Source organism: Homo sapiens, chromosome 2, assembly GCF_000001405.40.
Source record: "Homo sapiens chromosome 2, GRCh38.p14 Primary Assembly".
Classification (NCBI taxonomy): Eukaryota; Metazoa; Chordata; class Mammalia; order Primates; family Hominidae; genus Homo; species Homo sapiens.
This window is the reverse complement of record NC_000002.12, coordinates 120759268-120785675: the sequence shown is the minus strand read 5'-3', so window position 1 is coordinate 120785675 and position 26408 is coordinate 120759268. Positions and strand designations below refer to the sequence as shown.

The 26408-nt window shown below is 55.0% G+C and overlaps 1 protein-coding gene across 3 annotated transcripts in view, besides 3 other annotated features; it reads right to left on the bottom strand.

The window, feature by feature from the left end:
- Positions 1-26408, bottom strand: part of GLI2 (GLI family zinc finger 2) — a 256786-nt gene that overhangs the window by 206978 nt on the left and 23400 nt on the right. The gene's annotated exons all lie outside the window — the stretch shown is intronic.
- Positions 1434-2355: an enhancer, noted in NCBI's record as "NANOG-H3K27ac-H3K4me1 hESC enhancer chr2:121540897-121541818 (GRCh37/hg19 assembly coordinates)". NCBI's record gives its function as "activates a minimal SCP1, AML or CMV promoter by ChIP-STARR-seq in primed H9 embryonic stem cells {active_cell/tissue: H9 hESC(primed)}" and the evidence as "EXISTENCE:reporter gene assay evidence [ECO:0000049][PMID:30033119]".
- Positions 11583-12093: an enhancer, noted in NCBI's record as "H3K27ac-H3K4me1 hESC enhancer chr2:121531159-121531669 (GRCh37/hg19 assembly coordinates)". NCBI's record gives its function as "activates a minimal SCP1, AML or CMV promoter by ChIP-STARR-seq in primed H9 embryonic stem cells {active_cell/tissue: H9 hESC(primed)}" and the evidence as "EXISTENCE:reporter gene assay evidence [ECO:0000049][PMID:30033119]".
- Positions 16608-17143: an enhancer, noted in NCBI's record as "H3K4me1 hESC enhancer chr2:121526109-121526644 (GRCh37/hg19 assembly coordinates)". NCBI's record gives its function as "activates a minimal SCP1, AML or CMV promoter by ChIP-STARR-seq in primed H9 embryonic stem cells {active_cell/tissue: H9 hESC(primed)}" and the evidence as "EXISTENCE:reporter gene assay evidence [ECO:0000049][PMID:30033119]".

Here is a 26408-nt window from a genome sequence, read left to right as displayed (position 1 = left end):
CCAAGGCCTGAGGTCACCCTCTCCATGGGTGGTGCTGGGCTTGGGGCAGGGGCAGGGCAGGGGTGGGAGTGCTGACTGCAGATCCAGGGTGGTAGCTCTGCTTCTCGAGGCTCCAGGGAGAACCGGGCTGGTGTGTGGCCCTGGCATCTCCTGGTTTGGTCTCCTGCTCCAACTTGCCCAGCTGCAGCCCTCCCCACACCTCCCAGGTGATGCCTGCACCCAGCCCTTCTGTCTGTGCCTCTGCCAGCCTCAGCCACCGGCTTTCCTCCAAGTCTGCCAGCAACCAACAGCCAGCACCACCCTGGCCAGTAGAACACCACTTTTTCCTTGCAATGAAGCCAACAGGAGTGCCCTGCCTTCAGCTGGGATCTTCATGATGAGGTAGGAGGTAGCTCACGTGCTAAGCCGGCCCTGGATAAGCCTCGCTCCTGCCTGGTCCAGTCTCTCCCAGGCCCTGGCCTTCCTCTGCATGCCCAGGAGGCCACATGCCCTCAGCCACCCTCCCTCCCTCCTGGCAGCCACCTCATCGCAGCCCAGGCCAGGTGTCTGGGACCCGGATCCAATAATGTGGTCTGCTGCAGCCTGGACATGCGCCGGCTCAAGGAGGCCAGGAGGGTTTGACCAGCTCCGTGACTTGAGACAAGCTCGACGTTCTTTATTTGGGTGGCACAGGTTTCCTGAGGGCCTACTGTGTGCCAATCTTGAGTCTCCATCCTTGACCACAGAAGTGAGGGAAACACAGTACTACCGCCCCAGAGCTTCCAGTCCAGGTGTGGGGTGGGGAGACCGGCATCAGAGGAAACAGGCCGTGCCAACCCAGAATAAGCCTCCTAGCAGGGATAAGCTCTGGGGGGCTACCAGTCTTGCTAACCTGAGGGAGTCAAGGAAGGTTTCCTGGAGGCAGGGATGAGTGAGCATTTTCAAAGGAAGAACAGTTCCGGTCCAGAAAGGCCTGCTAAAGCAGAGAGGACCACAGCAGATGGAGGCTGTGTCTGGGGGGCGAGCAGGAGGCAGGGCAAGCATGGAAGCCTGTAGCTCTGAGTCCTGGAAGTCAAGTGTCCGGCAGACTGGAAGGGTGTGCTTACCCCTCGGGACTCCCCACTGTCTGCAGAATGACATTCAAACTCCTTATCTGGGCCCCCAAAACCCCCAAGGCCTGTGCCCTCCCTGCCCCCTCAGCCTCACTTGCCACCAACTCAGGACTCGCCCTTTATGTTATTTCTAGAAGCCTGCAACCCCCAGACACTGCCTGTCAGGCCTTTGCATTCATGCCCTTCCCCTTCAAAAAACACCTGTCTGATGAACTCCTAAGAGCTAAGGCTGGGATCTCTTCCACCCAGCACACGTGTCCCAGCCCTCCTGCCCCAGGCAAGGGCCTGGTGCTCCCACATGGCCCCTTATTAGCCTGGGAGACCCACAGCACAGCACTGGGTGAAGCTTCTACAGTGTGCTTCACTGCCTGTTCCACTGGATGGCTCAGATATTTGACTTTCATTCCCAGGCCCCTGGCACACAGTTGGCATCCAGTAAGCATGCCATGAGTGAGGGCCATCAGAGTGAACCCAGTGTTCTAAAGTCAGCTGTCTCCTGGATTGCCCCCGCACACCATGTCCCCCAGTGGCTGCCACCCAGTAGACAGCTGGTAACGGGATGTTTAACTGACCCCAGAGAGCCTCACACGAAGCCGAAGCCGCAGCCTAGCTCGTCGCTGGTATCTTGGAAGGTGCCAGTCAGATCTCATTGGCTAAACAAAAATCACTCTGACTCCCCACCTGAAATTCTACCACTGGACAGTCACTTCTTTGAAGCTTGCTAGTTTTCAAGAGCAACCGATTGAAATGCAAACTGCCCTGGAATAAGATCAGACTTTAAGTGGTTTTCATATAAAAAGTTCCCTTCTCTTAAATCAACGTGGATAGTATGGAGAGGGATGGAGGGAGGAGGAGGAGGAAAGCAAGGTGCCAAAAACTCTGTGCTGCCAGCTGTCCCTGGCTGTTACCGCTAAGGACACACCCTACTGATAAAAGGAAAATGTCTCCTGCTTGTTCCTGCACTTCGTGGTTTCTTGGCATGACACTGTGTGCAGAATTAAGTGCCTTTGCCGTGTGCTGCTTGCTCTTCCCCCTCTCCTTTCGATGACTCTCTCCAAGACACAATCAATCAAGCCTCTTTTGTTCCCGTGGCCTTTTGAAGGCTTCCGGAGAGGAAATGAGAACGCTCTTTAAAGCCCAGTCTACACGGAGCCTGCAAATCCAATCATGGTCTCCCTGCCAGCCCCCACTGTGGCCTGGCTTTGTGAGACCAGGTGCCACAGGTGGGCTTGGCTCTGGGTTCCTTGGCCAGGACTGTCCCTGGAAAGATACTCAAGGATGTCCCCAGCCCATATGGGAAGCCAGGGTGCCACATGAGACTTCCTAGAGAGCCCTCCAAGACGGCAGGAAGCTGCAGAGGAGGTCACAGGTTTAGGTGTCTCTTGGTCATGAGGCTGCTAGGCAAGGTCATTACTGGGAGCCAGTTCCCCTGCCCCAGAGCTGATTATTGTAAAGCTGTGTGCCCCAAATTTGGGTCTGAGCATGGAAGAGGTGCTCCAGGCTTTCTCCTGAGCCTGCATCCCATGACTCTTTGCAGTGTGCTGCTTGCTCCTTCCCCCTCTCCTTTCGATGGCCTCCCCAACAAGTCTTTCCAATCAATGGCCCACTGATGGGGACAGTCTGCCAAGGGAGCCCACCAGGTAGGGGAGCCTCATGGAGGTCCCAGGGATTGTAAGAGAGCCTGCAGTCAACCTCCTGTTCTACTCAGGAATCCTCTACAGCAGCAGTTCTCAACCGGGAGTGAATTTGCCACCAAGGGACATTTGGCAATATCTGGAGACATTTTTGACTGTCTCCAAATTGCGCCAGCGGTGGCCAGTGGGTTGAGACCAGGGATGCTGGTAGATATCCTGTAGTGACCAGGACAGTTCCCACAACAGAGAATTATGCAACCAGAATGTCCATGATGCCAAAGTTGAGAAACCCTCACCCAGAGTATTCTAGGCACTGTCATCCAGGCTCTGAGTGAATATCCTCCCAGGGATGGAGGTCTCACCACCTTAAGCTGTAAAGAGGCAGTGGTGCATACTGCATCTGAAGCCTGGGTCAGCCTCTTGCTGCAAACTGTGGGCAACTGACTCAGCTTCGCCACACCTCAGTTATCTTGTCATGGAAAATGGAGCTAACAATTTGATGCTCCAGGATTACTATGAATGAGTTCATGGCAAAAAAACATCTAGTACTGCACCCCACACACAGAAGGCACTTAAACCAAAGAAGGCCTGCTCAGGGGTTTCTGGTTTTAAAACACACTGAAGAGCAGAACTCCAGCTATCCCTGAAGGAAGTCTACCACCTGCCATAAAACACCTGCTAAGTCCCTGGCCTGCCTCAATGACACTGTCACAGGTAAGAAGAAACATGTAAGATGTTCACTACAGGGTTAAGTACACCCATTAAACCCTGACAACACCCCACATGTTTAACGGGAGGGAAATAGTTCTTAATAAATTGCTATCGTAGCGAGACAACGGGACAGTACTGTGCCTATTTTAGGTTATTATTGTAAAGACTTAGAGAAATACAGAAATGTTTAAGATCACACGTAAGTGAAAATAAAACAAAATTGCATACACACTATAACTGCAACTAGGAAAATGAACTATCTGTACAAGGGAGACAGTATATAAGAAAAAAATTTGTGTTTGAATAATGGGATTTTGAGTTATGCTGGGATTTTTGGTAATGTTCTTTTTTTTTTTTTGAGATGGAGTCTCACTCTGTCACCAGGCTGGAGTACAGTGGTATAATCTCAGCTCACTACAACCTCTGCCTCCCAGGTTCAAGCCATTCTCCTGCCTCAGCCTCCCGAGTAGCCAGGACTACAGGTGTGCACCACCACACTCAGCTAATTTTTGTATTTTTAGTAGAGACGGGGTTTCCCCATGTTGGCCAGGCTGGTCTCAAACTCCTGACCTCAGGTGATCCACCCGCCTCGGCCTCCCAAAGTGCTGGGATTACAGGCGTAAGCCACCGCACCTGGCCGGTAATGTTCTTTAATGTAAAACATCATTCTGCTTTTTCCATTAAAATGCTACTTATTAATAAATACAGAGAAAATATTAGGAGAAACTATAAATCGAGCCTGACTCCTGACCCGAAGCGAAAGAGGGTAGGAAAAATCTCAGAAGTTGACTGTGTGCTCCGCCAGTCCCAGGGGGAGCATCCCGGGCCTCAGAATGGGAAGAGGGGGCTGCTGCTCTGACCCCGGCAGGGCAAGGGAGGAGAATCTGCCTCTGCCCACCTGGTTTTGGCCCCTGGGTTTGGCCCCTAAGCCCCAGCCTCATTCTTCCTGGGAGTTATGACCACCACCCTATCAGAGGCCATTTCTCCTCATCCCCCCGCACTCAAAGGACTGGCCCTCAGTGCTGGGCAGTGAGGGTGCAGCAGGACCAGGCCAGGCCAGGCAGCAACTGCAGGCCAGGGGCATGGCTCCTATTCTCTCATCTCAGCCTCCCACCAGGCCCAGAAGCAGGGACAGCTTGTGTCTCCTTTTATAGACTATGGAGCAAGGTGAAAGAAAGGTTTATGCCCAGGGCCCATGCAGAGTGGAAGAGATATGGGAGCTGACACGATGAAGCCTCAGGGCTCGGATGCTCAGGACAGAGGGGTGAGCCAGCTCACAGCCCCAGGGCAGCTGGGGCTGCCACGACTATGACCCTGACGTTCATGGACAGAGGTGGGGTGGGGTCACCTCACTGGTGTCCAGAAGCTGTAACACAGCTCAGAAATACGACAGAAAGCCTCCAAAGAGCCTTCACAGGACATCGCTGGGAGAGGAGAGAACCACATCTCCAATAAACGTGCATCAGACTGGCAAGCTCCAGAGTTCCAGGCTGGAAACGACCCAGGACTGGCTCTGCCACTTACCAGCTGGGAACCCGGGTGGCAGGCTTAACGTCTCCAGGCTGCAGCTGCTGTGTCTGTAGTGTAGTGGACAGTGATACCATCTATTGAATAGGACACCCGCCATGGGGCCAGAGGCCTCCCCACCAGCCATGTCCCTCATCCCACACCACTCTGCCTGCTGGAAACTCCCTCCTCCTGCTGGGAAGGGGAGCAAACGACACACCCCACGCTGCTGGAAAAACTCCCACAGGTTCTGCCTGGAGCTGTGCTGAGCTTCTCTCTCTCCTTCCTTCCTCCTTCCCTCCCTGTCTTCCTCCCTTCCTCCTTTCACACTGGGCAAGGGTCCCTATATTTCAGTGGGGATGGTGGTCTCTGCTTCTCTGCAAGAAAGAGGGGAAGATGCCTGCTCCCAGGACAGGGCGAGCTCTCAGCCCCCAGCTGGAGCTCGGCAAGTGGATCTTCTTGGTCTCAAGACATCTGCTCATCTGGATTCAAAAGGAGTCTGCCTTCCAGCTGAAGGGGGCGTTATGAGTGTGTGTGGCACGCCCGCCCACATGCTCACTCCAGGCTTCCCTCTTCAGTGATAACTGCTAAGTAAGACCTGAGTAATAGATGCCTTTCTGAGAACCGAGAAACCCAAAGGTATTTATGTGCCATGAAGAAAAAAAAAAAAGAAACACAACCTGCTGCACTGAATCCACATTCCTTCACCATGCAGTGATGTCTACGGGGCTGAAAAAGAATGCGGGTGTTGTTTTCTTTCCCCATTTGCCTAAACACAAACACACCCGTGACACATACGCACACACAAACACACACTCACACACGTATACACTCTCTAAGCTGCCACAGCTCAGACCTGCACTCTCCCGGGCTGGGAAGGAGAACAGAGCCCGAGGCTGCCAGTCCTGGCCCGGGGAGGCAGGATGGCGGAGTGGTTAGGAGCAAGGCTGAGGGGGTCAGGCCGCCCTAGTGTCTGACCCCGGCCCTGTCTTAACCTACTGTGTGCCCTTGGGCAAGGTAATTAACTTTTCTGTGCCTCAGTTTCCTCCCTGTGAATAGATAATGGACATGGCATGCCTAGCACAGAGAAAGCCCTCAGTAAATGTCAACCATTATTATGACTGAACCACAAGAGTCTAAATCCTCTTGCTGGGCAGGGATTAGGACCAAACCCTCTGGGCAATGGCTCCCAACTCTTGGGCCATGTTACCGGCAGACCCACCCTAGTTCCTTCTCCAAGTCAGGTGTGTGCACTCTGTGGCACCTTTGCCGTCATGCACCACCATGCTCAACACCTGCACCTTGCAAGCCTGTCCTCAGTTGCCTGTTAGGCCAGGAACGAACTGCAGGAGGTCCTGGCCCTACTGCCCAGCACTGGCCAGGGGCTCACACACACCCTGGTGTAAGATCCTTCGTCAGCAGGATTTCAAATGTCACAGCCTGTCTTAGGAGGCAATGGGACCTGCTGGCCTTTCCAGATGGGACCTTGAAAAAACAGCTCAAGCCTCCTGAGCCACAGTTTCCTGATCTGTAAAATGGAAGGATGATAGTCTGTCTGTAAATGTTTCACATGAGCTGATGCGTGTAAGTACTCTGGGCAGTGCGGGCTCATGACAGTGCACAGCGGATATTACCTTGGTTTTTACTTTACATGGGAAGGGTGTGGGTATATAGGGAGGGGAAGTTTATGCTCTTCCTTCTTTGTGCTTCCCTGAGAGCCTGGCTCCTGAGTCAGCCATGATGGGGCCTCTTAACCCAAATTTTCCCCTGTCCAATTTCCCCTGAAGCATCCCCAATCCCATTTGCCGGGCAAGCCTGGTGGCCCAAGTGACCAAATCAACCCAGGGTTACACCTTCCTCTGGTTCAACCCAGCACTTCCACTGGCAAAGCCGGAAGCATATTTTACAAAGCCTCTTGTATTTGCAAGCCAACCTGGTGGCTTCCCTGTCGCAGCTTCAGGAGCAAGACAAGCAGGCCAGAGGCCATGGGTGTGCCAGGTTCTCCATCCAGCACTTACCTGGCCATGTGGAAGGTCTCTGTGCCCTGCCTACCTGGACTGGCCCCCAGCCTGCTGTATACCCCCTGGGCACAGACAGCTAGACAGGTCCTAGGGTGACTTCACCCCGTCTCACCCCACCAGCCACATGTGGAATCTGAAGCTCTGCCTGCCTGCCACTCAGATGCCCCAGAACTCAGGCACAGCACCTGCCCTCACCGTTCACACGCCCCGCCACACAGTCCTGCGCCACATCACCTGCCCTAGGAACCCGGCAGGTAACCCACCGTGCCCCCTAATTGTTTTCTCTGGCTGTGTGTGGGTGATGGCAGGAGCTGCAGGGACTGAATCAGGAGCGACGATGGGAGCACTCTGAGTCACAGGAAAGGAGGGACGCTGTGAGGAGCTAACGTCGAGTTCTGAGATACAAAGGAAGAGGAGGAGGAGTGGGCCAGGAAGCCCAGGGCTGCCAAATAATTGGGCATCTCACAACATAGGGAGGAGAATCGGGAGCGAGGAGGCCAGGACAGCCCTGTCAGACCCCACTTTCTTGGCCATCATCTGTGGGGGCTACAAGGCTTCAGCAGCACAACTCATCAGTTAGGTGGCAGCAGCTCTGTTTACAGTGGGTACTGGGCCACCTTCCCTCCTCCAAACAAAAACAAGCCCTGCCCCATCACAACCATGCTGAGCCAGCTGCACGCTGCCAACCCCGTGTTTGATGCCACCAACACAGCTGGGCCTAGCCGGGTGGGGGCTGCCTGCCCCCCATGGCCTCCCAGCAACTTCTGTACCCCCAGTGAGTCTCCGTGCTCCCACTCTGACCACACTGGGCTCTGCACCCCAGCCTGGGGTGCAATGGCCCAAGTCTACACCCCAGATGCAAGTCCTCAATGGCCAAGTCTCAGGCAGCAGAGACCCTGGGCCACTCATCGCTGTCCCTCCAAACAAGTAGCCCCCCAGAGGCAATGTCTGCAGAGACCCCCCAAGCTTCTGTGCTCCCACTCTGACCACACTAGGCTCTGCACCCCCGCCTGGGATCCAATGGCCCAAGTCTACACCCCAGATGCAAGTCCTCAATGGCCAAGTCTCAGGCAGCAGAGACCCTGGGCCACTCATCACTGTCCCTCCAAACAAGTAGCCCCCCAGAGGCAATGTCTGCAGAGACCCCCCAAAGCTTTCCTCCAGCTGCTGCTGCACCTGCCTGCCGCGCCCCTCCCTGCCGCGCTCCTCCCCAGGCTGTGTGGGCACACATGTCAGGTCAGCATATCCACACAGGCCCCCACCCTCTAAGCCTGCAGCCCAAACGGCACTGGAAACAGGGACTGGTGCCACCACCTCCCTGTCCCTCATCTCGTTCAGACACGCCTCACCCCCACACACGCCCACTCCGTCTCCCACACTCACTCACACACGGCTTCTCACACATCTCCTTGGACTCACAGGAACTCACACTCTCACCCTCACTCACACATAAACACACTCGAACTGACACAGCACACACACACAGTCATACTCTGGCTCACGCTTACACACACTTGTACACTATCACACACACGCATAGTCATATGTTCCTAAAGACACACGCTGGTTCCCACTCTCACATTCATCCACTCTCACATCATACACACACTCACGCAATCAGCTGCACATGCTCAAAAAGCCATGCACTCACACACACGCGTGCACACAGCTCCACTGACAGCACCGCCCCCTGCCCCGTGTCAGGTGCCCACCTCTCACTGCTGGGGAGGTGGCAGTGGGTCCTTCTGGAGACAGGAGCTCCCAGCTGTGAGAGGAGGGAGTTTGCAGGTGGGAGAGGTCCTGGCCCACAGCTCCCCACGCAGACCCTTGGGCCCTCTACACGCTGCACTCACAGGGTGGCTCAGAGGCAGTCCCCGGCCCACTGGAGCCTTCCCTCAAGACCCCACTCGGCCCTCTGGCTCCTCTTGGGAGAACGCCGGCTAGGATGCCTCTGCCCCGGCTCAGCCCCAGGCCTCCACAGCCCCTGACCCAGCTGCTTCCTCTAACCTCACAGCCTCACAGGGAGGGCTGGACTGGAGAACCAGAGTCCAGGGATAATCCTGGGTCCTGGATCTTGGTGAGGTCCCCCTGCATTCCACCCTCTTACTGGGATGACCCCAGCTTCCACCCAAGGCTCACTGTGATGCCCCCAACCAATCAGACCCCACTCCACCGCCCAGGCAAATGTGTCTAGGGCAAGGAAAGGGCTCGAGGCAGAGGGAGGGCTAGAAGTCTACTGGGAACCCAGAAGAAAAATATGCATCTACACAGCCACCAAACACGCCAGAGCAAGCAGGCAGGCTAGACTCAGCACACCCTGGACCTCACTCACAACCAAGCATCCCAGAGCCCACTGGGCCTCCCTTTGGAAGCTGACAGACTGGAAGGAGTCAGGAGCTGGGTTCCAAAGCTAATAGAGCCTCTTACAAGCTGTGCAACCCAACCTCTCTGACCCTCAGTTTCCCATCTAGAAAGCGGGAACAACATGTCCGGTGCTGCGAAGATTAAATGTGTCAATATGTGTCAAGGCCCAGTGCCCAGAAGGTGCTCCATGCCATCGCCTCCTGCCATCTCATCCCTCACCTGCCCAGGCACCTGATGGGGGTGGTCCGGGCTCAGGAGCTTCCATCCCTGGAAAAACAGCATCCAGTTCAGAGGGCTAGCTGGGGCCCTGCCTTGCTGATGGGACCATCCCAGCCCCTGGGCAGGCTAAGCCCAGGAAAGCGATTTGTGCCAGCCAGGGCGAGAGCGTTAGAGGAGGCCTGGGGTCCAGGGCCGCAGAACACAAAGGGATGGGAGCCCGGGGGAAGGCCGGGTCTGCTGTTACTTGGCTGATGCCTCCTGCCCATCCCCTGTGCCCCTGTACGACATGGCATATGGAATCTGCCAGCCTCACATTCCCCCCAGGGGAACACTCCCCTTCCCACCTTATAGGTGAGGAAGCTCTGACAGCATGCCCACCCTCATGTTCCAAACCCAAGTCCACAGAGAGTTCCAGACCCCAGGCTCTCTCTAGCGCTCTGCTCCCCTGCCTTGGAGGATCAGGTTTTTTAACTAGGAAGGCCATTCCCTAACTAAGCAAACCAGGGGCTCTTAATTACTCTGGGGGGTACTCTCCCTAGTGAGAACCCTTCGGCGCTCTGCTGAGAGGTGCATGGGGGAGCAAAATGCCTCCACCCCGAGGCAGGCACTGGGGGGCTCTTTCAAACGCCAGGAAGGGCGTCTCAGCACCTCCGGAGCATTAGCGCACTGTTCGCATCAGAAGCCATCCAGCAGGCACACGTGACACCACCACCAACTACCCCTGATGGACACCACTGAACGGCACCGGGAGAGGTGAGGCTACATAAATAACACACGCGTCACGAAGCATAATTATTAAATGTTGTCATTTCGGAAGAAAATTAATTAGCAATAGCTGTAGCTGTCTTGTGTCTGCTTAAGCAGCGTGCATCTCAATTAAAATTTAATTGCCACAGCTTCAATCACAGCAGGTTAAATGGCTTGAAATGCTGAGCGGGCCCATATCTACACAAAGCTTAAATTAGTGTGGAGTGGAGGAGCTGTCACAGAAGGGGAGGTGATAGGTAGGAAAGTGGGCAAGACAACAAGGTCCCGGCATACCCACGTCCCTATGTCGACCAGTCCTGGCAAGGGGCAGCATTTCCAAGTGTAGAGATGGACATGGAGGATGCTTCCTGGACCACCCACACAGACTAGCTCTTGGGAAAAGAGATTTTAAGGCTGGCATGAGTCTGGTGGGCTCTCATGGGAGCCCGGGCTTTGGGCAGGGGGCCACATCACAGAAAAGGATCTGGGGTGCAAAGGCTGGCAAACAGCTGACAGTGTGTCACCCCTCAGAGGAAGCAAAGGTCTCAGGCAAGGACTGCCAGTTCCCATACCAATGGAGTCATGCAGCAGGGCTGGCAAGCCTGGGGCAATAGGGAGTGGTGAGGACTGTGGCAAACTGGAGCACACAGGCCTTGTCAAAAGCAGACAGCTGCTGCTCCCCTCTGGCCAGCTTTTCCCACACAAGGATGAGGACTCAGTAAACCAAACCCTCAAAAAAGTCAAGAACAGGGGTTTTATTTCAATTTTCCTGTATAGTAAAACAGCCTGGTGATGACCAGGCCACGGGTTACCAATTTTCCACTTCCTGTCTAGGAATTTGTGCAAATAAATACACATGAAAAGGTGTCATCTTAGATAGTAAATTAGTGGCTGCCAGGGATGGGGAGCGACTGCTAATGGGTATAGGGTTTTTTGAGAGGGTGATAAAAATGTGTAGAACTTAGATATGTGGTGATAGTGGTTTAGATAGTGGTGGTGGTTATTCAGCTTTGTTAATATTCTAAAAAGCAGTGAATTGTACACTTTAAGAGGGTGAATTTTATGGTACGCGAATTACATCTCAATAAAGCAGTTATTTACAAAAACAGCAGGGAGGGGATGCAGTCTTTACCTCAAATGCACCCAAAGCTGCCAGATTTCTCAGCAGAGCATCTTTCACTTGTACTAGTTATTGGTGAATGGAAGGCCCAGTTCAGCCAGACTCTGGGTTGAGATCTGGACAGACAGCAGGGCGGCCGCATCCACACTGCCTCCAATGCACTTCTAAATCCTCACATCCTATCGGGGTGCCTGCTCCTCACCTTGAAATTGGGCTGCTTGTAAGTGAAGGGTAGTGGATGATGGAAGGGAGGGAAGAAAGGGGGGAGGAAGCCAGAGAGGGAAGGAGAGAGGGAAGGAGGGAGGGAAGGAGGGAGGGAGGGAGGGAGGGAAGGAAGGAAGGAAGGAAGGAAGGAAGGAGGGAGGCAGGGAGGGAGGGAAGGGAGGTAGGTAGGTGAGGTCCCCCTGGCCAGGAGGCACAACCCAGCAAGCTCCTAATGAGCCTCCAACACCGCTGAAGCACATCTCCCCCTCCATGAAGCGGCCTGGCTGAGCTCATTATCCTGCCCCACTTTGAGCCCCAAGGCCGTGCTGCCTGCCACCTGCCACCTGCGACTATGCACATGCAGTTCTGCTGGCCCAATCACTTCCCTCACCCCACAGCCAACTGGGGGCTACCTGAGGGCAGATACTGTGCCGCTACTGTACCCAAGCACGCAACAGACGCGCAGGGCCTATCATCCCTCTTCAGCACCAACCAATGCCCAGCCTGGCACAGCTGGCAGCCGCAGACAGCATCAGGGGCCGGCATGGCATCTGAAAGCAGGGACAAGGCCAACATCAGCACGTCAGGCTGCAGTGCCTGAATGAGGAGCCCCCAACGGCTTTCCCATCCCTGCCTGGGCTGTCACCGCGGGTGACAGGATGCCACACATAATGTGTGGGATTCTTCCCCCTCACACTGCAGGGCTTGGCTTTCCTCTCAGAAAAGCAGAGTCTCAGAATGCCACTCACCATCAGGCACACCGATATCCTACCCGGGCCCGGATGCTACAGGCCTACGCTCTAAGACTGGCTCTTTCTCCCCTTTTCCCCCAAAAGACTTATTCAGAGCTTAACAAAGTTCTCACTCTGACCCACTTGTTACACTTCGAGCAGTCTACTCCACAGGGACCTCAAAAGAGCTGTCACCACAAAGTTGTTTGTCACAGGAAAGCACATACTGTCAAAATAGTGAAAACAACTGCAAATGGCCAAAAATAAGGGGCTGGTTAAGTAATCACGGCATGTCCACACAATGGGATATCAGACATTGAGAGCAATATTTACACATTGATATAATAACATGGGAAGGGTTTATGCTAAAATATCAAGGAGAGGGGAGGGAAGGCTCCTCAGAGGAAGGAGACCTTGCGGGGTACCCAAGAATTTGAAACCCAGATGCAAAGTTGCAAATGCAGGAGGCTGTCCTAACGGTGGCTGCATGCTGGAGAAGAGGCCCCAGAAGGAAATGTGCCTCTTACCAGCATTGCTGCTGAAGAATGCCACGGTCAATGGCTTCTTTCTTCTTCATCTATGTTTTCCTGAACTTCTACATTATTACCTTGAGCACAAATTGTTTATAATTATTAGGAATATACTCTTAAAACATTTGTCCACAGCAGAAGATATTCATTCCGCCTTCTCCAACAAGGGCCAAGGGTCAGGCAGGCAGACCTGGGAACCTCTGGGCCTATGGCCAGGCCCGAAGGGCTCAGCAGGCCTCCTTCCTATCACTCAGCCAGGAGTGGGCAGCCGGGGTGCTCCTGGGGACTCAGAGTTAAAACATTCCCTCTGCCATTGATGATGCTGGTGTGCTCCCTGGCTGCGAGGCTCCACACTAGCCCATATAGAAAGCAAAACAAGTGTGCTCTATGACCTCTGGAGGCTTGCTGAGTGGAAACAAACAAACAAAACACAAGACCAATAGTGACTTGCAGAACAGGGTGCTGAGTCTTGGGGAGCTGGAGATGGGGAGGGAAGGCTCCTCAGAGAAAGGAGACCTTGCGGGTTACCCAAGAATTTGAATGGCATCCAGTCTTGAGGTTCACACAGGACCAGCACTGTCTACCCTCTCCTGGTCCAAGGCAGGCATTGCTAATCAATCACAGTGCTTCTCCCAGCAGCCCCTGGGGTCCTTCTCACTCAGGGCACCAGGCAATCTCTATCAATCAAACTGCCCTAGCACAGAGACAAAACCCAGCCTCCATCACCCTGCATCCCCCTCCATCTGTGTGCGTTAGGCAATGGGAGTTTAAGTCAGGGAGTAGCATGACCTCATAGCATTTGACAGGGGTCACTCCGAAAACAAGGATGGCCTGACAGCAGGGAGGCCAGTCAGGAGAGAGTTATACAAATCCAAGCACTGGAGGCATAAAATACGACTGTGCAGTCTGCAAGCACCGTGGGCGTTGGCCATGGAGGAAGTGGGGAGGGCCACACCACCTACTTGGTTGCTGGCTTCCACTCCCCTTCTAACTTTGAGGAGTCCTGGTCCAGCAAGCCCAGTGGCCCCTCTGGAAGGCAGAAGACTCAGTGCTTGGCTGAGCATCTGAATGCTGCTAGTCACAGACCCTGTGGCCACAAGGTCTGCATCAGACAGCCTAAGGCTGGGACAGGCAGAAGGCCCCCTAAGACAGCTCTGGGCTCCAGCCCAATGACTCACAGCCTCCCGACTGGAAGGGCAGTCAGAGCCGCACTAAGTCACACTACTCTCCCAGAGCACTGGCTTTCAACAGAAACATCTTCTGTCTTCACAGAAGATGGCAAAAGTCTTTGAGAAGGAAGGCCTTTGATCGACCCCTTAGAATCAAGAACTCTAAGTTGAAAGGAAGGACGCTTGGAAAACAGCCAGCCTCACCAGTCATTTTACAGATGCGGAGGCCAAGCCTCAGAAACCTGAAGCCATTTGCCCGAGGTCACAGAGCTGGTGAGGAGCAAGGCAAGTGTCCGCCCCAATCGCACAGCATAGCTCTCATTCCTTGGGCCCAGAAGAGTGCTGAACCCAAGCGGCACGTGCTGGACACCTGCCAATGGGCTGAGCGACACAGGGAAGGGTCCTGCCTGAGCTGCTGCCACCACTCTCTGTGCCGGCCCGCCTCCTCATGCAGAGCACAGTGAAGAGGGCTGAGATCCTGCAAAGCCAGGACACAGGCAGAGCCCACCAACGTACCCCAGGGTGGTATCCATGGCTGCCTTTCAGGTTCACTCTGGCAGGCTTTCCAAAAGTCTCTGATTCGCTGCCACAGAGCCACAGGCAGCCAGACAAAATGCAGATTCCTGGTGAGTCTGGGCCTGGGCAAGTGGGGCAAAAATGGATGTCATAACTAGGCTCTGAGCTCAAAGAGTTAACTCAGGCTCGGCAGGTGGGAGTCTAAGGGCGTGGACGGTGTGGTGGGCATGCAGAGGAGGCCCCTTCCACCAGGTCCCAGCAGCCTGGAGGGTAGGTGGTCAGCACTGATGGCTGAGCCCAAACATAATCATTATAGTTTGAGAACACCCAACAGGCACCTGGCCCGCTGCTGAGCACTTTCCATTGGTGACCATCCCTGAGCTGCACAACGCTCTGTGCTACCAGCTTAATTCACAATGAGGAAATTGAGGGTCCCTGAGGTTCACTGCCTTGCCCAAGACCTCAGAGCACGAGAGAGGCAAGCCAGAAACTGCACCCATGTCCCACCTCACATCATTCCTGGCTGTCAGGAAGCAGGCAGCGTGTGGCTGTCGTCCAGCAATGGCAGCCCAAATCCCAAATACAGAGCACCTTCCCTGGTGTCATCCAGTGATCAGCAACAGCTCCTGGGTCCCCTGATGCCTGCATCAGGCACCAAGATGAGACACACACACAAAACACTGCTCCCACCCTCAGTGCACTCCTGGTCCAACTGGGAAGACAGACAGCTAAACCCCTATGGGTCCTGAAGCTGGGCCCCGTGCTCGGGGACCCACCACAGGGCATGGAAGGGTAGGAGATGGGGGCAGATGAGGCATTCCAGCAAGAGACAGCCAGGCAAGGCCTGGACAGGAGGAGGCTGGGGGTGGGGGATGGAAAGGCAGCCATCAGGGAGAACAGTGGATGTGTTTGTGTTTGGAGCTGGGTGCTGGGAACATGGAAGCCTCATATGGGGCCACCGAGGTGTTCAATTCTAGGAGCCGCCAAGCTATATTCTTTGTGATTTGGATCCCTGAATACAACCCGAAAACAGTGATTATCACTAGGGGCTGGGGCCAGGAGAACTGAGCACCAGGCTTCCTCTCAGTCAGCATGACCCAGGCAGCTCCCTCCTTCTGCAGGGCCAAAATGAGGGGACAGGAGGCAGCAGGCACCTACTTGTCAGCCAGGACCCATCCAGTCATGCTGCCTTCTAGAGGCTGTGCCCACACATGCACATGCACACACACACACAGTGTTTGTGCACCCAAACTTCCACACACTTAAAGCCCATGCACAAGCAGACACACATTCCCAACACACTCCCAAACAGGCAGAGACGCACACTCCCAAACACATGCACACTCAGAAATGCACTCACATACAGACGCAAGCAAATGCACACAGAAGCAGTCACAGACACACCCCTACATTCACAAATGTGCCCAAACACACACACGCTCTCACACAGCCGCACAGCACATGTGTACATGCATGCACGCACATGCATGAGCACTGCAGGGGCAAGACTCTGAGCTTGCCTTCTGTAAGTTATTTCCTAGAAGGACCTAGTGTTAAACCCTCATTGTCACCTAGGGTGAGCATGGACAACTCCCCAGTAGCTGGGAGCGCTGGGCCAGGTCTCTAGGGCCTGGAGGGGTCCTTCTACAGAGACAACTTCCAGGAGAGAAGGAACTAAATGCACAGGGCACTGAGGTTCAGGGGATGCCCCCAGGCCCCGGCACCCATGGAGCCCCGGAATCCCCCATCCTGCAGCAGAAAGGGCTCACTGGACTGGGACAGTACTTGCTGCCCAACACTGGCCATGGGCTCACCAAAAAGTTAGGGGCCTGTGCGCTTTAGCCCTCTCCTGATTTTCCTCCATTCCTCCCATCTACAGCTTTGTCCTTTCATTCAGTCAACACTGGCGGCGGGAGCTAGTGCCAGACCACCAGGCTGGGCACCAAGTGGGGGCTCCAGAGAGAGTGGATTCTGGAGGTGAGCGGTGCTCTTTGGGAGGAAGGAGCTACTTCCTGTCAGAGATGCTCTTGCTGTTGGATCGTTTTCAAATGAGGACCCTTGTCAAGTCTTCATCACTGAGAAGCCACAGGAATAGGGCCTGGCCAGCCTGGGGAAGGCTGTCAAAGTTCCTGGTTGAATGAATGAAGAGCTAAAAGAATGGTCAGCTCCCCAGGTTCACCACCAATCTGTCAAACAGTGCCAGCCCACCACCCTTCCAGAGAGCCCATCCCCAGAACTTGCCTACTTCTGGTGGGGCGGAGTGGGGCAGGGTGCACACACACGCACACACACACACACACACACACACACACAGGGGCGGGGCCTCTTTCAGGCAGGAGGAGGCTGACCCAGTCCCTGACATCCTGGGAGCAGGACCACAAGTCTTAGCAAGTTCCAGGGCTCATCCAGCCAGGCAAGGCAGGGGAAGAGGGGCTGTCCAAGCCACTACTATTATTTCATCTTTGAGACTCCCTGTGAGGCACCAACAGGACCTCCCTTCCATAGTTGAGGAGACAAGCTCAGAGGGTCGCAGAGTGCCCAGGTCATGCCAAAGGCGTTGGAGAATGGCCCCTCATTGTGCAACAAGTCACTCTGTAGACGGAGCCCCTTCTGTTCCCAGCAGCGGGCCAGATGCAAGTTTTGTGGTCTCCACCTGCTCTCAGCCTGCAGGCCAGCTGGACAGAAAACAGTTTCTCACCTGCAGTTCAACAGGCCCACCCACAGTAGCCCACCTTCCCATGGAAAGTCCCTGCAAGCAGAGCTCAGTGGCCTCGCCAGGAACCCCAGCTCTGAGGGCGCTTCTCCTCTCTGGCTCAGTGCTTCCTCTGAGACGGGGATAAGTCCGCCCACCGCATAGGGCAGCTGTGAAGATCGAATGGGAAAGGCACAGGGGCTCTGAGCACAGGGCCTGGCAGCCGACGCCGGGTAAAGGCGGGCTCCTGTGATCATCAGTGCTAGTAGAAATACTGCTATTCCAGGGTAGATGCTGCAGCTTTTAATTTTTAAAATATGCCAAACTCGAGCTTCAGACAAGAGTAAAAATAGTTTGGGGAAGAAGAGCCTGGGGTGGATTTGAGGTTCCAGGAGCGTCGGGACAGCCATGAACTGAACTCTGAGGAGTATCAGCAGCACTGACTGTGGTGGGGGGTGAGGGTGGCAGTGGTGGCAGCCACCAGGCATCGAGTCCTTCTGATGTGACAGGGGCCTGCACTTCCTAGATTTATCTCCCTCCCACAGCACAATGTCCATGGGAATTGAAGTGGTACTGAAGTCTGCTTTTCCAGATGAAGACAAGAGGCACAGACAGGCAAAGAACTTGCCAAGGGTCACACAGCCGGCTTGCTGGACAAGCGCCTGGGTTAAGGCCCAGGTGGGGCCAGAGCCCACGCAGGCCACTGTGGCTGGGGCAGGGTGACCCAGGCGAGGCAGTGGGGGCTGGGCAGAGGGGCATGGCCTCTCAGAGCGGGGGGCACAGGCAGACGGTGGGAAGATGCTCCCACTGCTCCCGTGCCCCTGTGCCAATTTGGTGAGTGTATTAAAAAGTTTCTTTTCAATTACCTCTTTCTTGAAAATTACTAATAGCGCTCTGATGGAGATGCGACTTAATTTCCCAGTTGGCTTGGAAATGAGGAGACCCATAATTGTTTGACCCTCTCACCAGCGGCAGACTGGGAGAGGGAGCTTGGCTCCTCAGAGGCCGAGCGTGAATAAAAACATCCCCACTGAACATGCTTGCCACCCGCCCCCGCCCCCAGCGCCAGACTCCGGCCACCAGCACCCAGCCCAGCACCCTGCTCAGCACATCCAAGAGCCCGGCCTCTCACTCAGCTGTACCCTTGGAAAAGCGATCAGTGCTGGCGGCAATCTCCACAGGGGCCCCAGGCTCTGACTGGCCTAGTCTCTCCCAGCAAGGAGGTGGCTTCCACAGGGCCCCAGCTCCTGCCTTGAAGGCAGGCAAGCCCAGCCCCTCTGGAGGAAAGAACAAGTTACGTAGAGGTCGGTTAGAGCCTGCTGTATGTCTGTCGGGCCTTCCCGGCAATTTCGCACTTCACATTTGCAAAAGCCACAAGAGAAGGGCATGATTATAGCCCTGGGCAGCTAAGGGGACCAAAAGCCAGGTGTCCACATTCCTACAGGTGTGGCCTGTCGGTTTCCCCAGCCTCTCTCCAGCTGCCCTGTCATGGTCCCTGCCCAGTGACACTGCAGACCTGGGAACAGGCCCTCCATAGCGAACTGCCCTAAGTACAGCCTCTGGAATTTTTCCCAGGAATTTCACTGAACTCTTAAGAATCTACTCACATAATAATATAATGATGATGGCCACCGGTTTCTTTAATGTCAACTCTCTCATGTCATGTTTTCTCAGTGACTCCTACAAACCACCCTGCAAGGATTCACCATTATGTCCCTAGTTTACAGATGCAGAAACTGAGGCATAAAGACCTTAAACAGAAGAGCCAGGATGCCACCAGGCCAGTCTGAGCGTAGAGCTAATGCTCCTCCGCTGCTCTCACCACCTCCTGGCTTCCTCCTGCTTCTGGTGAACACAGAACCTCAGGCTATCAGGGGAGGGCCTTTCTTTCCCATTTCTATGGTGTGGTCCCTCCTGACCACTGACTTTTCTTCTCTGCCCAGGGCAGCCTCCATACTCTTCTACTCAAGGGCTTCCCCCACAATCCTCTCCAGCCCGGAAAATGCTCCAGGAGCCACCTTCCCTCCACAGGTGGGGAGCCTAGGGTCAGCCCCAGGGGCGTGAGGCCCTCTCCGTCCAGTGGATGGGCACATTATGGGGCCTGCGAGGGTATGCTGGACGCTCTTCACACTGTCTGGGTGGCAGGAAGTGACGCGCTTGCCTGCTGCATTTCCTGGAGAGACTGATGTGTCCAAACTGAGGCGCCACAGCTGGACCGAAGGCTGCGAGGTCACAGAGGGTCAGCTGGCTGCAGACATGCTGAAGAACAGCAGGGATAACTCATCCCAGCCCCAGCCTTGCCGCGTGAACCTCCGAACCCTCCCCATCGTGATGCAAGGAAACACGATCCAGCCACGCGAGAGGGGAGCTGGGCAAGAGCTCCAGACGTCTCCGAGACCTTGCCCACAGAGGGACTTTTGTTTAGAAAACAGGCGTTATCACTGTGACAAATGCTGTCTGAATTCCAGGAGGAGTGCTTTTCCTGCTGCTCTGTAAATTCCACATTCTCTCTTCACATCAACATCTCCTATCTCATTCCCTGAGTCTCCTGCAGCCGCCTTAGCGCGTGCCAAAAGGAAATCAGGCAGCGAACTTCAAAAACACAAGGAGACAGCGGTCTCAAAGACGCCTGATGGGCTCTTCTCACCTCCACCTGACTGCAACGGAGAAAGAGCTTTGCTAGGCCAAGGGGGCCCATCCCACCCTGCAGAATCTCCTGTCTCCCTGAAGCCTGTTCCCCAGACCTGCCCTAACGGGTCCTGATGGAGGGGGCGTCAGCTCCAAGGTGTCACTGGCAGGCAGGGGAAAGGTTCAGGCACACCCCTGAACCAGATCCTGAGGGGCCCTTCCAGCCCCGGCCTGGGTACAGACCAGGTCCCTGCCCAGTCAGCTGGGCACAAAGCCAGCTGGCCCTCTCCCTTGGCGGCCCTCTGTTCCGGCTCTCCCAACACCAGGCCTTCTTGCTGCCTCCAGTTCCTGCATTTGACTCCCCTGGGTTGATCGCTCTTTAGCCACTTATTCATACCTCCGGGCTTGGCCTCATGCAAAGGCATGAAGAGGCCACCACCAAAGTCAGCCATCGGCTGTGCAGCCCAGGGAGACCCTGTCCTTAGAAGTGCAAGGAAAAGGACAGGCGGCCCGTCTGCCCTCTCCCAGTGGCAGCTAGGACTGGACTGGGCTCAGGGTGTGAAGTGGGGTTTTGTCCCCTGAGGGCACATGAGAGAGGCCCAAGGATCCCAGACTGGGGTCTAGAGAGACAGTGGGACCAGCAGAGAGGAGCCCTCAGCCCCAGGGGCAGGGGGAGGTTCAGGGAAAGCCTCCTGAAGGGGGTAGGAGGAAGGGAGGGCAGGAGTCATGGTGCCTGGAACTAAGGTGGCGCTCACCACATACAGGAAGAGGAGTGATGACCACCTCTGCCACTTCTGCTGGGCAAATACTGCATGAATGGACGGTGAACAAATGAACAAAATGTTACAGCTCTCCATTTCCTCAAGAGACACAAAGGCAGAGCTAACACAAAGACACTAGAGCTAACTCAGAAGCCTTTTATTAGACAAGCACAGAGCTCTGGGACACAACAGCTTCCTGTTCCCAGTCAGATGTTCCACGTTATGTGAATTTTAGAAATGCTGGGCAAACATGCAAAAAGTTTCTTTACTTCAGGATTTTTCAGAGTCTTCGAAATAGCAACACGCACTTTTAACATCTGGAAAAACCACAGAGCACGTGGCTTCTCCCACATTCACATGGACCCCAGCCCTTTCTACCTGCAGCAGCCTGCGCAAAGGGGAATGAAAAGCAAACTCTGGGCAACCCTGTTCCCTTCTACAACACAGAGCAAAGGACACCAAGTCAGGCTTGTCTGCAGCCAGTGGTCCCTCCAATACCCAGCTGTGACCCGGACACTCACTCCCACTCAAGTAAGGGATACAAGTGAGGGTGACATGCAAAGGCAAACCTGGAAGTAATCCGTTCTCTTTTTTTTAAAAGATTAAAGCATTCACAGAAACACCTGAAGTGTACCTAGCTTAGCAAATTTCTGGGGACACATCTCACAAGCGTGTCAAGAAGCTACAACCAGAAACCCTGCTCCTGACCGCCTGGAGGTGAATTCTGGGTCTCCTCTGGACAGTCTTGAGATCCTGTAACCTCCCTCCCCAGCACGGTGGAAGGTGTCCCCTGCAGCCTCCGGCTGCGCCACGAGCCCGCCAGTCAGCTCTGCCACTTCGCTGGCACCTCTTCTGTGCCCAGTGCCATCAGGGCAGAGCCTACCCTCCCTGAAGCCCTGAGAGTCAGCAGGCATGTCCAGGTGACAATGCAGGAGAACCAAGGGGGCTTCTGCCCAGTGCACAAGGCCTGGGGGACATGGAGGGCCCACATCACCAGTGTGGCTCTTCTTGGGACCCGGTAGGAAAGTTCTTAGAGGGAGATGTCCCCACAGGGCTATGCAATTATCTCCCCGGACACACTGGCTTCGCAAAGCCCTGGCTGGCTTGGGAAGCATAAAAGGCCCACTTGTTGACAAAACCCACTCCTTTGATGGATCCTGCCCCAAAACCTTTGAAAATAATTTTGTTTTTGGTCCTGACTTGCCTTTCACAGCCCCACCCACAGACACATCAGTGGCAGGCCCAGTCCATGCTCCGCCCCTTCAGCAAAGCGGTCCTGAGAACCCGGCAATGCTTCCGGGCGTGGGGCAAGAGGGCACGATGGCTACAGGGCGTGGCTTCTTGTCATTCTGCCCAGAGGGCTGTGAGTAGAAGGCAGGCCCCTCTGTCTGCAGGGGAGTGGGTGAGTGGACCCACAGCACACGGGGTTTCTGAGCTGGCCCCTACAGCATTCCCCAAGGGCCAGACAGCAGTGAGCCCCCCAGAGCACCCACTGGATGCCTGGTCTTGGCTGCCACCAAGCCTGCTGCTCAGGACAAGCCCATCCACAGTGATGGATCAGATTCTTGCCAAGAGACAGTTCCCTTTATCCCCACTTCCCCAGGCTTTCTCTGCCTAGTGGCCCTGCCACTGTGGAGGCCTTCAAGTCCCCTCAATCCAACAAATGTGTCCATCCATTCCATCTATCCATCTACCCATCCATCCACTCATTCATTCATTCAATCGTTTATTCAGCAAACACTGATAATGGACAGGGGCTCCTTTAGGTCAAGAAAACACACAGATCTGAGAGCCAGTTAATCAATCAAAAGCATAGCAGCAATCTGATAGGAGTCAGACCCAGAGGAGAGGGAGGCACAAGAAAGGGCCTGTGGTGGGGGCAGGAAGGGCACATTCAGAGAACCCAAGATTAAGTCCAGGTAACAACAGAGCACAGTGGGAAACAGAGAGGGAGCAGGGCTGCCCCTCAGTCGGAGTATGCCAGGCTCCAGAGCCTCCCAGGGCTTTGCCCATGTGGTCCCCCATATGGAAAGCCCTGTCCTTCTCTTCATCCTGCCAACCCCTAACCTTGGCCTCAAAGTCCTCTCGAGTCCCCAGCCACTGAAGCCTTTCCTCCTCGGATCCCTTCAGCGCCGAAACTTCACAACACTCAGCTCAGGACTCCACTTCTGTCCACTTCTGAACCAAGGGCCCTCAGGTGTCTCCTTAGCCCTGTGCCTTCACTAAAGGGAAAGAAGCCAAGCCCCCAAGGCAGCCAGACCCAGCCACGTCTCTGCAGGCCTTCCTTTCATGGTGGGATGGTGGGATGGTCGAAGACAGGGGCCAGGGCCTGGGGGCTGGTGCTGAGCCTACACTAGCTGCAGGCCCTCGACGCTCTCGATGGGGAGGCCTGTGACCTTCTCAGGGAGACGCGGAGGCACAGGAAGGGAACGGCTGAGTCTGTTGCAGATGAGACAGGGCTCCCCACCAGCTATAAGGAAGAGGTGTGCTTGTGCCTTCCTGGGACCTGCCCCTTCCTGTGACTCTCCTCCTGCCTGTCTCAGTCACTCAGCTGTGGACCCTGGTACTGGGGAGAGAGCCCAGCCTTGGCACCAGCCAACCTGCCTGCAAATTCCAGCGGGCAGGCTTACAGCTCTGTGGTCCCAGATGGGAACCTTAAGGATGTGGCACCTCCGTTTTTTCATCTCTGAAACAGGTCTACCAGCAGGAACCACCATGCAAGTTAGGTGCTGAGGTCACTCAATGAGAAACACAGGCAAAGTCCCTAGCAAGCTCTGACCCCTTGCAAAGGCCAGCCTCAGGCCCATCCATCCCCCAGAGCCAGGGACCCTGCCCCAGTAGAAACCCCTAAGCCGGAGACCCATCATTAGAGGCCATGACTGCCACCAGCTTGGGCTACTCGGTCTCATTATGTCCCTGGGTATGGGTGGCAGCCACTTCCCTGTGCCCCCAGCAGAGTGTGGCACCAGAACTGCCCGGCTCCGTGGGTGCATCTCATTATCTGAATGTCTGCCATCAGCTGTGCTGAAGCAAAGCGGCACTGGGAACTCACTCTGTACTTTTGCCTAATGTTCTAATTTGCCCCTGCAGAAGGGGAATAACCCTTTTCTGGAGGCTGCTCCCTCTGGCTAAGGACCAAGAGGGTGCAGAACCTCCCCACAAGCAATCACTGCCTCCCCAGAGCCCCTGTCCCTGCCCCAAGCCATACACCAAGAAAGCTGTCCTTGGCACTGGAGCAACACAGAGCCCTGGGGAGAGAAGGGCCTGGCATCCTGGAATGGCACAAGCTGCTCCTTCCCAGCACCGTGGGGCAGGCAGGAAGCTGGAGGAGCAAACAACGGGCCGGCAGCTTGAGGGAGGCAGGGGAGGTGGCTCTCCCGGGCTGGGACTAAGTGCTCTCCCAACCCCCGACCCCCCAGACCCTTCTGCCTCTGCCTCCACACTCCTCCTAGCCCTCTCTATCCCACTACGCCCTCCACCTCTGCACACACACCCCCTCTGGGTTCCAGTTGCAAATTCCTCTGTCCACCTTGTCTAGAGCCAATCTGAGGTGGGGAGAAAAGAACAGGGAGAGAAGCAGCCACCCCCTGGGCTGGGCCATAAGAATGCTTGGCCTCACCCACTGGGCTGGGCTGTGAGAATCCTTGGTCTCACCTCCTGGGCTGGGCGGTGGGAATCCTTGGTCTCACCTCCTGGGCTCTGGGATCTCAACAAGCCCATGGCTGCTTTCCCGGTTCTTCTCTCCACTCAGGTCCACTCATGTCCCCACCCAGCCCATATGTCCCCATCCCTGGGTCAAGCCCCAAGTTTACCCATGTAGCCCAGATTCTAGCCTGAATGCAGCCAGTGGAGTCTGGTAAACAAGGTAATCTTCGTCCCTAGCCACCTGTCTTTTTCCTGCCACCTCATTCTCCTTTATTTTGAAAACCTGTAAAACTACACCAAGATCCAAACCAGCCATAGATGGAAAGAAATGTCTGGCCACAGCGTTCACTGCAGCAACCCCAAGGTGCATCCAGGCCCAGCCACTCTGCTCTCCTTCCCACCCTGCTTTTCCTGTGCAGGACAAGGCCCACCTCAGCAGACCTCACAGTCACTGGGCTGCCCAGCAGGATTGCGCAAGAGGGCGTTCAGGGTCAGGAGAACCTTCTCGGGACAGGCTTGGAGGAGAAAAGCATGCCTAATGAAGAGGAATTAAAGGGTGGCATTCCACAAGGACCTGAAAACATTATGACAGTTTTGTTTTGATTTTTGCAAGGAGGCAGACACCACCGAACTTAGGGGCATGAGAAAAAAGAGCCAAAAGAGACAGAGACGAGGCCTGAGCCACTGGAAAAGATTGACTTCTGTGGTCCAAGAGCTAACCAAGCAAGGCTCAGTGGCACCAAGCATGCGGGCAGGCAGACAGGGGGACGCTGCATCCCTGGTCTGAGACAAATGACCAAGGAGCTCAGGTGATGATTCAAATGTGGTCACCTCCCCAGAAACATCTAAACATATGTCTCTACATACAAGTGCCAAAGGGGAAGAGTCCCCCAAATCTCCTAACACAACCTCCAGAAGTCACTCCAGGCCTGGGGAAGGGTCCACCCTGCCTCCACTTCCTGGGAAATCACTTGTCCCTTCCAGTCCTGGGAAGGTTCAGACTTTCAGTTTTCCCTCAAAAGCACAGCGATGGCACCTGGGAGGCCCCAGACCTCCTTGGACCCCCCACATAAGACCACTCCACTGGCCTGGCATCCCTAGGAGGACCTATATCCCAGGAAAAAGGGAGAGCCTCCGAGAAGTTGTACAGTTGGGATGGGCCCCAGACTATCTAACACATCCCATTCATCAGACAGAGACAGGAACTGAGGCCCACGGGGGCCAGGGCCTCCCCTGGAGCAACAGAGCTGGCCCATCACCCTGCCCCTGGGAGGTTTACCCAACACTGCAGGGAGGGAGGCCGGGGGATGCTACTGGAGAATCTCACAAGGGGCAGCCCCAGGGCTAAAGCCCCTCCCTCATCCAAGAGCTCCCCCAGGGCTCTCACCTGAGGACACACAGGCTTAACTGTCCAGCTGTGATAGTGTAAAATATATATTTTGTAAAATACATATTTAGTCTTCCTCCTGTTTCCTGGCATAAAACCTTTGGAATCTCCAGAGAAATGGGTGTCTTTTTGTATGCTGATGAGTTGACTGTAACTAGGTAGGCCCTAGGTAGTTTCAGGATGGAAGCCGGTCACCTGAAAATCCAAGGCAGAAGAGAGGGTTAGGACTTTTCAGCCCTACCTCCAACCTCGGGGGCGGGGACAGGGGCTGAAGGTTAAGTTGATCACCAATGGCCAACGGTTTAATCAGTCATGCATAAGTAATGAAGCCTCCATAAAAACCCAAAAGGACTAGGTTCAGGAGCTTCCAGAGATAGCTGAGCACATGGTTCCTAACAGGTAGTGCACCCAAAAGGGCATGGAGGCTCTGCACCACCCCCCATGCCTCACCCTGTGCATCTCTTTACCTTTATCCTTTGTAATATTCTTTACAATAAGCCAGCAAACAGAAGTATTTCCCGAGTTCTGTGAGCTGTTCTAGCACATTAATCAAACCCAAGGAAGGCGGCATGGGAACCCAGATTTATAGCTGGTTGGTCAGAAGCACAGGTAGTTGAAGAACCTGTACTTGAGACTGGCATCTGTGGGATGCCACAGATGTGGGGCGGTCTTGTGGGACTGAGCTCTCAACCTGTGGGATCTGATGCTGTCTGCAGGTAGACAGGGTCAAAA